At 41.8% G+C, this 13347-nt stretch overlaps 1 long non-coding RNA gene and 1 other non-coding gene across 2 annotated transcripts, besides 2 other annotated features; both read right to left on the bottom strand.

The window, feature by feature from the left end:
• Positions 1 to 840: 840 nt before the first annotated feature.
• On the bottom strand, positions 841 to 13332 carry LOC124904223 (uncharacterized). The gene is made up of 2 exons (XR_007066234.1): positions 8434 to 13332; positions 841 to 1308 (listed from the first exon to the last, which is right to left on the bottom strand). It is a non-coding gene; the product is annotated as an uncharacterized LOC124904223 (long non-coding RNA).
• Positions 1422 to 1921: an enhancer, noted in NCBI's record as "H3K4me1 hESC enhancer chr1:95018941-95019440 (GRCh37/hg19 assembly coordinates)". NCBI's record gives its function as "activates a minimal SCP1, AML or CMV promoter by ChIP-STARR-seq in naive H9 embryonic stem cells {active_cell/tissue: H9 hESC(naive)}" and the evidence as "EXISTENCE:reporter gene assay evidence [ECO:0000049][PMID:30033119]".
• Positions 1922 to 2423: an enhancer, noted in NCBI's record as "H3K4me1 hESC enhancer chr1:95018439-95018940 (GRCh37/hg19 assembly coordinates)". NCBI's record gives its function as "activates a minimal SCP1, AML or CMV promoter by ChIP-STARR-seq in naive H9 embryonic stem cells {active_cell/tissue: H9 hESC(naive)}" and the evidence as "EXISTENCE:reporter gene assay evidence [ECO:0000049][PMID:30033119]".
• MIR12133 (microRNA 12133) lies at positions 11527 to 11604 on the bottom strand. The gene has a single exon (NR_162147.1). It is a non-coding gene; the product is annotated as a microRNA 12133 (primary transcript).

The following is a 13347-nucleotide window of genomic DNA, read 5'->3' as shown; positions in this document are numbered from 1 at the left end:
TGCAAATATGGCAAGAGGTGGGGCAGGGCGGGGAAAGAAGGATTGGAGGTATTGCCAGAGGCCACTGATCAAGGACGAGTAGGTAATATGCAAGGACTTTCTCTGCTCATCCCTGGCGAAAATGATGTTCTCCCCAACACATTATCAAATATATGAAAGCATTTTTAGGAAAGTGAGAAAGAGGACCCTAAAGATGGGCTAAAAATCCAGGAAATGTAAATTCCAAGGAAGTGTCAAAGAATAATGAATGCATGTTCAATTTGCAAAATAGAAGATAACTATAGAACTAACTTCTTGTAGTTATAACTCATTTTAATAAAGCTGTTTGAGAAAAGACAGAGCTTGACAACTGTCTGAAGAGAAGCAGCCAAACCAGACAGAGTCAGCCCCAGGCTCCGGGATGGCCATGGGGTGGAAGGCTGAACATCTCGGCCTCTATGCATCTGGGTCCAGGACTGCAGAGGGCACTGCTCACGCTGCAGCTATGTGAGGCTCTTATGTCCCTGGGGTAAGTAACCATCTGTCTGTTCATTCATTCCACAGAAAGTCATTGAACCCCTGCAATGTATCAGGCAGCATTCTGACTAAGCACTACAGACAACAAAACAGACAAATAATGGGAATACCTCCACCCCTGGTGTGAGCCAGAGCACTGTAGTCCACCCCATCTGGACAGGGAGGGAGGAAGCGGGTGTCCTGGCAGGTTATCGTCAGAAAGAATCCTCAACCCTTCCGTCTGTCATTATTCCTAGTTCTGGTAGACACATTTATGGCAGTAAAACATGTAATAAGGATATATCTGCTTTATTAATAGACTTAGGACTATAAAGAACAACTATATTTTGCCCCAGATTCTAATTTATTCAGCTCAATTCAACAAACACCTGTTATGTGTCAATTCCATGCCTGTTACTGGAACTAGAGATGAACATTTTCTTCAAAAGCACTCCCTTCCCTTCAACATAGCAGCAATGGCAAATCCAAGCAACTTCAAACTCAGAAATTGCCCCAGTGACCTGCGTGCTTCATAGGTTCATACAGAGGGTAAAGAGTAGTTTCCCCACCAGGGCAAAGCGGTGATGATACTGTTCGGGGCAATATGAGGCTGATCTGAGCCAGCTTGGGAGCCCTCCAGTCAGTACTTCTGAGGTCTGATGTTCAGCAATGGAAAGCCTTCAGTTTGTCTTCCAACCTCCCTGGAACAGCCAGGCAGATACAAGGCAGGCCCCTGAGCAGCTCTGCAGGATTCGAGAAAGTTCTTCCAGCTTCTTGGCTGGGGGGCCTCACAGCCCATCCATCCCTCCCCATCTGGAAGGGGACAGGGAGTGGAAAAAATATTTTATTTACTTCTAAGTCTGATTTTTCTCCCCTTAGATTAATGCTTTGCAAAAAGTGACTAGGTAAGTAAACTAATTCAGTGGCATAACTTACTTTCTGGTTGATTAATAATTAGGAAAAAATACATCTGAATAAATTTCTTGCATAGCAAACTTTTCTTTAAAAACGGGTTTATCTGGTTGATAAGAAAAAAGAAGACTCTATTTGTTTTTCAAGATATTCATTTCTTTCTGGCAATACACTCATAATTGCATTCCTGGGATGATATTGTTGTATCTTAAGAGTGCAGACATGTTTCTGTTTCATAAGAGGAAAAAAATCATGTCCAAACCTGGACATCCTTGGTGTAAAATCTCTGCTTCCTGGAATACTAAATTTTTAAACATAAGCAAGGACTTAGGTAGCCAAGTGTCTCCGTTTACTCAGCCACAGGATGTTGGGTATCATGTAGCAATTTGTGCAGACCTCTCAATCTGTTTGTGTTTTCAAGAAAGGACAAAGTCTGCTGGCGTCCTGCTGGGACATTCCCACCCTCCACCCCCACAGGGGCTTGCAGCCTGGGGCTCAGCGGGGCTGTTGGGAAGCCACCCTTCCACCCACTCAGGTCTTGTTCGTTCCAGCCTCCTCACCCACCGCATCCTAGGGTTTCCTGCTGCCTCACTCTGAGTGAATTTACACAGAAAAAAGCAAATTCTACCTGGATATGATCCTCAGTAGCATTTTGATCATTATACTAATCTGAAATTTTTATTCCTTTCAACACCTAAGGACATCAGCAAAGTTTTAGGCTCTGTCTACAAGATCAAACACTGTCATTATTGTCATTGGCTTGAGCAGCCAAGTCAAAACATTATCCATCAATCAAACAACTGTTCAGGGGGTGAACTAGAGGGCTGGGTGGATGTGGGGTTTGTCTGATTCTTTGGTTTCATTAAGCTAGAGCAGTTTAACAGGTGTGGGAGGGGCAGATCAACTTAAGGGACTGTTCTTCCTCCTCAGAGTTAATCAAAAGATTTTACATCAACATTAACACCTTGGGAAGGAATGAAGTAAACTGCTAAAGGAAGCTAAATTCACCCTTGAAGAAAATTGACAGTAAGAGAAAAAACAAAAGTGAACAGAGAGGCATCCAATTATTTGGGGAATGCAAATGAGAAATGGGCTCTAAAATTTTATTTGAAGCCATACATCCATTTTGTGTGGGTGTAAAAGGCACTGTTTCCCCAATTTTCAGTCCGAATCATTGTTTTAATGTATAATAATTCATGTTAGCCAGGTGAATTGAAAGATAAAATAATTCCGCACCCAAAATTGACGACTCTTTTCTCAGGCCCCTGCAGCACTCTTGTTCTGTCTGTATCATGGACCTGGCACTGTGTCCTCTTGTAGCGCATATTTCTGCCTTCCCCTCCCTAGGCCCCCTCTAGGGCAGGAGGAACAGCTTGTTCTTCTGATGCCGTTGCAGAATCTCACTCTGTGCTGATGCAGAGTGAGTGCTGGGTAGGGTGCTCACCGGCTGGGTCATGGTCAAGTGCATGCACTCTGGAGCGAAACAACGTGCTTTGGGCCCCAGCTCTACCACACCCCAGTGTGTGATCTTGAGCAAGTTACGTTAGCCACTTTTAGCCCCAGCTTTCTCAAGGGTAAAATGGGGAAGGTCATGGCGCCTGCTTCCCGGGGTTTTCATGAGCAGTAAATTAGAGAAGCCTAGTGCATGGCAAGCACTCAAAATATTCAGGATGTTATCAGTGACTAAACAATACTACCCTAGGCAGAATACTCATCAATGCTGGTAAGACAATGGTTTCTTTGTGAAGTGTTCAGGCAAAGGGAAATCTACTCATTGAGGCAGGTGCTTAGTGAAGGTGGGAGGATTAGAAAGTGGGTGCTGGGGGAAACCACCAATACTTGTCCATTATCATCAAGAAGGCTTTGAAGAATTGAGAGGCCAGAGGCTGTTAGTTGAAGGGAAAATTCAGTGAGTTTGTCTGGGAGGATATTATACTTGATAGAAGAATCCCAGAAAATTACTTTGTGTCTTACTCTCTCACCTGTCCCTATTTAGTTCTCTCTTCCCCAAAGCCCTTCCCAGAACAGCACATCCCTGCTGAGTACGGAAAGTGATGAACACTGATAGCAGGTGCAGAGCCTGTCCTGCAACCCATTTTCACCCAGCCGTCTCCTTTGGGCACCTACCCTGTCCTGGGTGTGTGATTGCCCTACCAATGTGCCTGGTGAGATTATCCAGCCCTGAGAGCTGAGCATTCACTGGGCACTGACTGCATGGCCGAGTCTTGGTAATGATGGACAGTGCTAAGACCGCAGTAACCATAATTACTGCATGTGACGTCAATGCCGAACTAAAGCAAACAGACCCGCAAGCAAATGACCTCTAATATCTGAGTTAATTCCTGTGAAAAGAAACAGTCAGTCTGGTTTTGGTGTTAAACTCTCATAACCAGTTTATATCTAGAAATATTGGATGCTTTGAACAACGTCAGTTTGGAAAGTAGGTTCCCAGAAACTATGAACTACAATTATTAGAAGCAGATAAATGTCAATTAAAACTTTAAAATAAAATTGGAAATAGTAATTATTCAATATAACTGGCACAGATCAGCTATGATAATAAGCTCTGGCCCAAATATCCAAGTCTTTAAGTAGCAAATCATAAAATATGAGATCCAGACCACAGGCCCATTGCCCCGTTTTTACAGATAGTACAGCTAAACCCCAGGGAAATCAAATGGCTAGACACATATGGGCAGCGTGCGTTCACATTTCCTTCCCTTCATGGAAGGAGTGTGTGCCACTTTTCCATGCTTACATTTCATTTTAAGACGTCAGCTATTTCACATGGCCTCAAACCTCAGTGTGCTTTACTCCTGGATTAACTGAACCATTTAAACTAAAGGCTTAACGTGTTCCTAATCTTCTCTTTGAAATGCTGACTGGAGAATATTTATTTAGTGCCTTGCCCAACAGGTCACAAGCACATAAGAAAGCCAAGAGCCAGCATGCACACTTCTCTAGCAACAGAAAAGGCCTGAATCAGATATCCAGGGATCAGATTTTCAGGAGGCCCACATTGGATACAGCGTACAAAAGGCAGAGACCAAAGCAGGGCCAGACATCAGATACAATCAAGAAAGAGTGCAGCAGCTGGAGCTGAAACTGCAACGAAGGAAGAAGTTCTCTTTGGTAATTTAGAGTGCGTGGAACTTCTCTGTGAAACAGAACCACAGAGATAGCAGCTCTGGCACACCTATTATTGTAACTCATCGCTGTATGAGACTGTGAGAAACCATCCCTACCCCACTCAGCTAAAAAGCAGCTGGGACTGAGAATCTATTGGTATTGCTTGGTATCATTGGGGTAATATCTCCAGTTACAGCATGACCTTTCTGCCCTGTAAAAACAGAGGCAAAATGACTTTCTCACGTAAGGGTCCAAAGCTCTCCTTTCCCATTCGTGGGATATTCGGAGACAGCTGGTGGGTGTTTGTGGTTCATGCCTTTACAATCAATTCCAAACCCTCTTCATTATAAAAATAAAATCTCCACCTTCCCCAACAGCTCCCTAACACACACACACACACACACACACACACACGCCCCGTCTCAATCAACTACCATCGCGCCTATGAGTTTTTTTCCTTAATGACTGCTTGTAATGATTATTGTAACCTGATTGCCAAACGACAAAAATGTTTCTGATGGGAGGGAGGAAAAGGGCACAAGGTGATTTTTCCTGGGATGAGCCTCAGTCGTGGGTTCTGCAGACGCCGACATTTTTCTAGGTGACACCCAGGCACTGGTATCACATAACCTGGTACTAGAGGCAGGCTCTGAAGCTGGTACCAGGCAACATAGATTACATTTGGGGAAGTGACTGACCACGGAGGGGTCAGGTCGTAGTGGAGACCACCCTACATCCCATAGGAGGGAGCTCATCTGCAGAGGCTCCCTACGGGGCTCTCAAGTAGGGAGCAATCACTGCACAAATATTCCAGGGAAATAGAAGTGACTGCACGACAAGTTCCAACTTGAGCCTGGATGTTTGTATCACGATGATAAATAGGACATTAATTCATAGGTGAGAAAAGGGCTGTGGAATGGCTGATAGATAAGTGAAAGTGATTATGGACTAATCTAACTCATCAGCTCAATGATGCCATAAGCAAGAAGTAGGTCAGAAAGGGCTTTCCTAATATTTATGAGTTGTAATCATGACCCATATTTCTTAATAAATAATAAGATGCTGAGGAGCATTTATCTCATGTTGTCAGGGTAAATAAGCCATTTTCAGAGATAGCTTCCTTTTTCCTGTTTTGGAGAGGAAAGCAATCTAGATGTGGATGAAATGAGTTGGAAACAAAGCAAAAGAAAGATCCCTTTGTTCTTGACTTGGGCCAGGTTTTGGCTTAGTTTTCTTTCAGAAAGTCCCCATGTTTTGAAGCCAGGCGCATCACAGAGGGTCAACTTCACCAGGTAGGGAAGACAGGGGAAAAAGGAAAAAGGGACTTGAATCAGTGCAGTGGTTTTCACTGAGCTTTCATAGGAAATGTGCATGTGTTAGTGTCATGATTGAGGAGAGGCCACATAGCAACATAGGTTGTGGATGTGCACCTTGCAGCTCCACTATTTGTGTTCAAATCCCAGCTTAGCCATTTCCCAGCTGTGCCACTTTGGGCAAATTATTTAACCTCTCTGGGCTTCAGTTAGCCTGTCTGTAAAATGTATAGTTCCACCTACCTCTCAGAAGGTTGTTGTGAGCATTCAGTTAATACCTATAGGATGCTAGAACAATATTTTTTGGCCATTTTCACTGGCAGCAAGTAATAGACTGGTATTGAGATCACTGGATATTCCCAAATGATCATTTGCTTTTCCACTGACATCATGACATCAGCTAAGAAATAAAAGACAGAACAAAGCCATTTTGCAGATTTCCTGAATCCTCGGAAAGGTTTTGTCATAACCATAACCAAGACATAAACTGTCAGAACCATGTCAGGGCTATGTCTTCGTTATCAGACTTTTTTGTTTTTTTTTTTTTGGCAAGTGCTTGATTATAGCATCTAAGTATTAGAAGTACTGGCCTTTGGTGGAGAACCAAGACAGACACATTCCTGCCTGCATGATGCTAGGGTAGAGCAGAAGACACAGACATCGTGTGTAACCTCAATATAGGGTGATGAAAACTTTTGTGAAAGGAAAAATCAATGTGGCAAACTTCATGTTATCTTATTTTAAGAAATTGCCACGGCCACCCCGATTTTCAGTAATCACCACCCTGATCAGTCAGCAGCCAGCGACATCAAGACAAGACCCTTCACCACCAAAAAAAGTACAACTCTCTGACGGCTCAGATGATTCTTAGTATTTTTTTTAGCAATAAAGTATTGTTAAATTAAGGTCTGTACTTTTTTAGACATAATGCTATTATATACTTTATAGACTATGATGTAGTATAAACGTAACTTTTATATGTGCTAGGAAACCAAAAAGTTTGTGTGACTTGCTTTCTTGTGATACTTGGTTTATTGCCATGGTCTGGAATTGAATCTTCATTATCTCCAGAGTCTGCCTGTAACTGGTTTTCTGCTCACTCTTAGAGGCCATGACCTCCTCTTTCTTACTAAAACTCTCCTCCTCCTCTCTGCTGTTCCTCTGTGGTCCAGCTTGTTATGGTCTGATGTTGGTTTCCTCCTAAAATTCATACATTGGAACCTAATGCCCAATGTGATCGTATTAAGAGGTGGGGCCTTTTAGGCAGTGATGCATGAGGCCCTGCTCTCATGCATGGGATTTGTGCCCTTATAAAGGAAGTTAAATGGAGCTGCCTTGTCCCTTCTGCCATGGAGATACAACAACAAGTTTCCGGCTACGAATCAAAGAGTGAGCCCTTGCCAGACACCGAATCTTCCAGTGCCTTCATCTTGGACTTCCCAGCTGCCAGAACTGTTATTTCTGTTACTTATAAATTACCCAGTCTAAGGTATTTTGTTAGAGCAGACTAAATGGACTAAGCCACAGCTTAAATAATACTTTCCTCTAGGGAACCTTCTCTCATCACCCCAGTGAGAACCAAACTCTCTCTGTAGAGGTCCTGAACATCTTCTGTATCTTTAAGCAAAGCTTTCTGAATACGGAGGACCTACTGTGTGCCAGGCACTGTTGCTAGCACTGTAGCTACCTGTAAAGATAGAGCAGTCTCTTCCAGCACAGGGCTTTCAATCTACTAGCAAGAGATGTGACACTATATCCCACATCATTCGTACCACTTTCCCCTGTGGAAGCTTAAGTATTTGTCTCGTCTTCCTGACTAGTTACGAGATATTTTACCAAAGGGACTCACAGTTCCTGGTATACTGTCCTGTGCATAGTAATCCCTTAATAAGTATTGATTAACCCATATAAGGCAGGATCTTGGTTAACAAATCCATTGTGATTGGAGATGAAAAGTAAACACTATTCTTAAAATAAGGTGCAGGTCTAAGATCAATCGCTCTAAATTGGTCATTTTAATAGCTGTCTCCATAGTATATGTCCTGTATCTTAGTCCATTCAGGCTGCCATAACAAAAAATACCATAGTCCAACTGGCTTAAACAAACATAAATTTATTTCTCACAGTTCTGGAGGCTGGGAAGTCCAAGATCAAGTTTCGAGCAGGTTTGGTTCAGCTTCCCGAACCGTCTTCTTGCTATGTCCTCACATGGCAGAAAGGAAGATGAAGCTCTTTTATAAGGGCACTAACCCCATTCACAAAGGCTCCATCCTCGACCAGATCATCTACTTATGGCTCCGCCTCCTAACACCATCACATTGGAGGTGAGGATTTCAACATACGGATTTGCTGGGTGGGTGTGAGGGGGCACAAACAATGACGCTAAAGCAACCTGTTATTCCCCTTATGGCAAGGAATAGAAGTATTTGATTTAGAACTGTGAGAATAGAAGTAGTTGATTTAGAACTGTGAGATGCTAAAATGTTGTAACATAAAGGGTAATGATGGTTTAGGATGACAATTACAACCAGTCAAACAAACATGTTTCCAGTGTGAAAAATAACTTTGCTTACTAAGGAATTACCTCTGTCTTGAGAGTTCTGCTTCAATGTGGAGTTGGTATAATAGGATGGAGCATCACCATCAAAGGCAGCAAGGGATTGGAAGGGTTACAGGCTCAAAATTTGGAGCATCTGTTAACTAGGCTATAAAATGTCAACAAACAAACATAAAAATAACAATGAAATATCTTGCACACATGCTTTTAAGCTGATTATTTTACTTGTTTTTTTCCTTACGTGAGGAATCTCCTCCTACTTGGTTATCTTTTCTGCTAGACTTGCCTTTTTATAAAGCTGTCTTTCTTGTTGAGCTTCATATATTTTTTCCATATTCAAAACTTTGAGAGTTCATCAATACGTTCAAACTGATAGAGAATGTATATTTTAAACCTGTAAGTCATTTTCTGAGTTAAAGATACCTATTTGATGAACTGATCATGACACACCTAAATCTTTTTGGGGGGAGGACAGAATGAAATTTGTAAATAAACAACACTGTTAAGATTGTTTTATATCCAATTCAAATGCTGACAGAAAATCATTCAAACCATAAAATCTGCCGGGCATGGTGGTTCACACCTGTAATCCCGGCACTTTGGGGGGCAGAGGCAGGCGGATCACCTGAGGTCGGGAGTTTGAGACCAGCCTGACCAACATAGATAAACCTGTATGTACTAAAAATACAAAATTAGCTGGGCATGGTGGCACATGCCTGTAATCCCAGTTACTCAGGAGGCTGAGGCAGGAGAATTGCTTTGAACCTGGGAGGTGGAGTTGCAGTGAGCCGAGATTGTGCCATTGCACTCCAGCCTGGGGCAACAAGAGCGAAACTCTGTCTCAAAAAACAAACAAACAAACATAAAATCTGGACATAAGTAGGAATGATGATATGTTTAACAGGAAAGGGACTTCTTTGTTTTACTCTGTACATCCAGAGTCTAGCAAAGAACCCAGTATCTGGTGGACATTCAAGCATTTGTTGAATGAATGAATTTCTGTTCATCAAATTTAGTACATATGTCAGGTATAAAGAGTTACAGAAATGAGGAATTAAGAGATGCTTAAGTAAATGATACCATATACAAAATTTTAAATCACATAAATATTATATTAATAAGAACATAGGTTAAGGGTTTTCATTTTAAATGACTTTTTGTTACTAAAATAATACCCACAATTCATATTTATTATTTATCTATTTTGTCACCATTGTATGTAGATAATAAAATAATATTTACTGTTCATCAAAATGAAAGTTGAAAGGTAGTTTGATAAGCTTTACGTTTATAAAAATAGATGTCTGCTGAAAATACCAATCCCAGTCTAAGACTTGAATTGGAAGGTTTTTCTCTAAAGTTACATTTTTCAGAATACTGGTGCTATGTGATAACTCATTTAGCAAAGCTTCTTGTAAGCTGTTCTAGACAGTTGATAGAAGTATTTTGAATGACCAGGATAATAGATTTTATCATACTGACTTTCAACTGTTTAATTTTGGTCTAAATGAACTGTTGGACTAGTATATTGCTATTTTCACAAAATGCATAATCATGACTGCCAATTTTTCCATGACTAACTATACCCAGCCAGATGTTTCTTAGGTTCTGCTGAGTCACTTTTTTCCTTTTCCTCCAGAACTCTGTGTTCCTACTAACTCCTAATTCCCTCTGGCCTTTTCTCATACTTTGCCTTTTACCTGAATTTTGGGTAATGGTTTCATTGCTCTTTTTACCATTTCATATGCATAAAATAAGTTTCTCTGAATTATTCTCAATTTTACTTGCTATCATGTATCTTAACCTATCTCTTTCCTGGGAAATAAACATTTTGAGGAATTTGTTTTAAAAAGTTATTCAGCCTCTGTATGCAAGGAAAACTATCAACAACCTCATCGCATGATGAAGTATATTCTGAATCATCGTAGAATCCAGTCTTTTAAAAAAATGCTAGCTAGTTTCCAAACTTCTGTATCTGGTTTCTGCTTCTCAGCTATCTCTCCTCCTGGTGAGATTTTCTGGTGGTGCAGAGATAGCTAATCACTGGTTAGACTGCTAGAACTTGCGGTCGAGTGGTGCCTTTCCAGTCATGATGGATTTGTATTTTCTTACCAATCTCAGCATCATGAAACACTCACTGCCTGGCCCCTAGAAAGAGTTTTCAGTGACAGATTTCATCTCTTGAACACCAGTGAAATATTTGGTTGCACTCATAGTTTTATAAAGTATTCATTGACTCAAAAGGTATTAAGTGCCTATTATGTGCTGATAATTGTGGAAAGGGTTGAGAGAGGAAAAAAACAGACAAAAAACCCAATCCAACAGGAAAGATTAACAGGTAAACACACAAGTGAGATTAAGTGAAGTTCTCAATGAAAATGAGTCGGTAAAATTGGCAGCAAGTACTATAAAAGTACAGTGGAAGGGCTGAAACATCTCCGCAGTTATTTTCAGACTTCTCATCAACCACATTTCATCACTGGTTATGCAAAGGGAATTCAAACTCTTCTACGTGTCTCCTTGTCTGTCTATTTCAAGGACTAACCATCAGGATATTTCTGCCTAAGAACAATGAGTTCCCCAAACTGCAAAGTATTTTCTATACTTTGTGTGCAGTTTTTGTGCAGTTTTGCACTTTTCTGCACTTTGTGTACATGCAGAACATTTTTGAGTGCTTATGGATGGATTAATTAATCATTCATTTGATGGATTTACCACCCAGTCTTACTTTCCTTCATTGGGAGTAGGAGAAAGCCTGGTGATGGAAGGAAAGCCCCCGGGGTCAGAAGACCAGATCTGCACTGTGTGGTTAGGCAAGCCAGTTTACTCAGATCAGCTGGCCACAGGGTTCTCATCCATAAAAGAATGTCTGTGAGGTTCTCCCATCCTCTGACATCCTAAAATCCAATGAGAAAGGGACTGGTCAAGCCAGAGAGATTATTGTTATAGTTTAGTAACTTTTTGAACTTCTCAGAGCCTCCAAGATAGATCATGGAGGAGGGAACTGTTAACTGCTAAGCTTGACTTTACTGACAGGAGTAAAAAAAATTGTGTTAAGGTTAGGGAATAATTTTAACAGTCAATTTGTTCTTGTGAACAAATTTCAACAGTGAAATTTTAGATATGTACTTTTTAATGGTGCCAAGCAGCAGTTATTATAGATCAACTGCTGTTTGGCACCATTAAAAAGTACACTTCGCACCGTCAAAAAGTAGATCTGGCCACAATTAGATCAGTCAGGGAAAAACACTTCGCAATGAAATATTATTTACCACGTTTTCTTCCTCCCTCTTCTTGAAAATAGTAATGATTTTAGCATTTTTAAATCTTGAAGAATGTCATTCCGTACTGACTAAAAAGCCTGTGCAAACACCCAACATCTTCTCTTTCCTGTCTATTTTAATGGATATACAAAATAAATATTCATCTAATTTATCAATATTTAAGGCACATTGTGTATCACAATCCAATGGTAAACATTTTTCTTATCAAATGGCTGATCTTGACATTGTTTAAAGCCCTATATGATTTCAGAAAAGTCAGTGACTCCAAGTGGAATTGCAACAATTTCTTGGGTCTTGTAACAAACCTGAAGTGTAACTATTTCTCTTCAGCTACCTTCAATCCCAGAGAGCAAAGAATCACATCCCAGGTGGAGCTGAAGATCTCTTAGGGAAAATGACTCAGGCTAGAGCCTGCATAAAAAGAGGATTGCATGGCTTAGTTTTGCAAACATAAATTTTGTGGGTTTCAGAGCTGGCAGAGAGCTCAAAGAGGAAATCATCAAGGGCAACTTTCTGCTTCGAGGAAGGAAAGTCTACAAGGGCTAAACCTGGATGTGCTATTTCAGTTCAGGCAAAGGAGGAAAATTAAAATTTTGCACAGTTTTATTCTGTTAAAACAAGTGGTTCAGTAAGCTAAACGAGATATGTATATAGTATGCATTAAAATGCAAGACTGACTTCCCTGGGAAAACGTGGGAAAGAAGGAGAGAGGAAACAAACAATTCTTACACTAAGAATTCTCCAGTCGTGTCTTGCAGGCAATATAGAGTAATAATAATAAAAATGACAGGAGATACTTTGACAGGATGGCTTAAAATGCCACTCAATAGATGAAGAGTTGTTCTCATGCTTGGCAAGTTTACAGCAAAGCCCAGAAGGAGAAGCCAGAAAATAATTTAGAAAAACCAAAGCTTAAAACTAGTGGCACACAACTCTGGTTACATTTTTCATTTTCATTTTTGGTTCCTCTGCATTTCGGTGGAACTCAGTCCCACAGATGTCTTCTTCAATGTGGGAACCATCCTTTCTGGAACCACAGAGCTGCAGATGTCACGCTGGAATTCTCCCAGAGGCAAACTGCCAGATGTGAGGCTGCTCTTCCTCAGTCACTATCTCTGGTCGTACCGGGCGATGCCTGAGCCAACTGACCCTCAGACCTGTGAGCCGAGCCGGTCACACCGTGGCTGACACCGGCATTCCCACCGCCTTTCTCCTGTGCGACCCGCTAAGGGCCCCGCGAGGTGGGCAGGCCAGGTATTCTTGACCTTCGTGGGGTAGAAGAAGCCACCGTGGCTGGGAGAGGGCCCTGCTCACAGCCACACGTTTACTTCGCTGCAGGTCCCGAGCTTCTGCCCCAGGTGGGCAAAGCATCCGGGAAATGCCCTCCGCTGCCCGAGGGGAGCCCAGAGCCCGTGCTTTCTATTAAATGTTGTAAATGCCGCCTCTCCCACTTTATCACCAAATGGAAGGGAAGAATTCTTCCAAGGCGCCCTCCCTTTCCTGCCATAGACCTGCAACCCACCTAAGCTGCACGTCGGAGTCGCGGGCCTGGGTGAATCCGGGGGCCTTGGGGGACCCGGGCAACTAGACCCGCCTGCGTCCTCCAGGGCAGCTCCGCGCTCGGTGGCGCGGTTGAATCACTGGGGTGAGTCATCCC

This window comes from Homo sapiens, chromosome 1 (assembly GCF_000001405.40).
Source record: "Homo sapiens chromosome 1, GRCh38.p14 Primary Assembly".
Taxonomy (NCBI): Eukaryota; Metazoa; Chordata; class Mammalia; order Primates; family Hominidae; genus Homo; species Homo sapiens.
The sequence above is the reverse complement of the archived record's forward strand: the minus strand, read 5'-3'. Positions and strand labels throughout refer to the sequence as shown.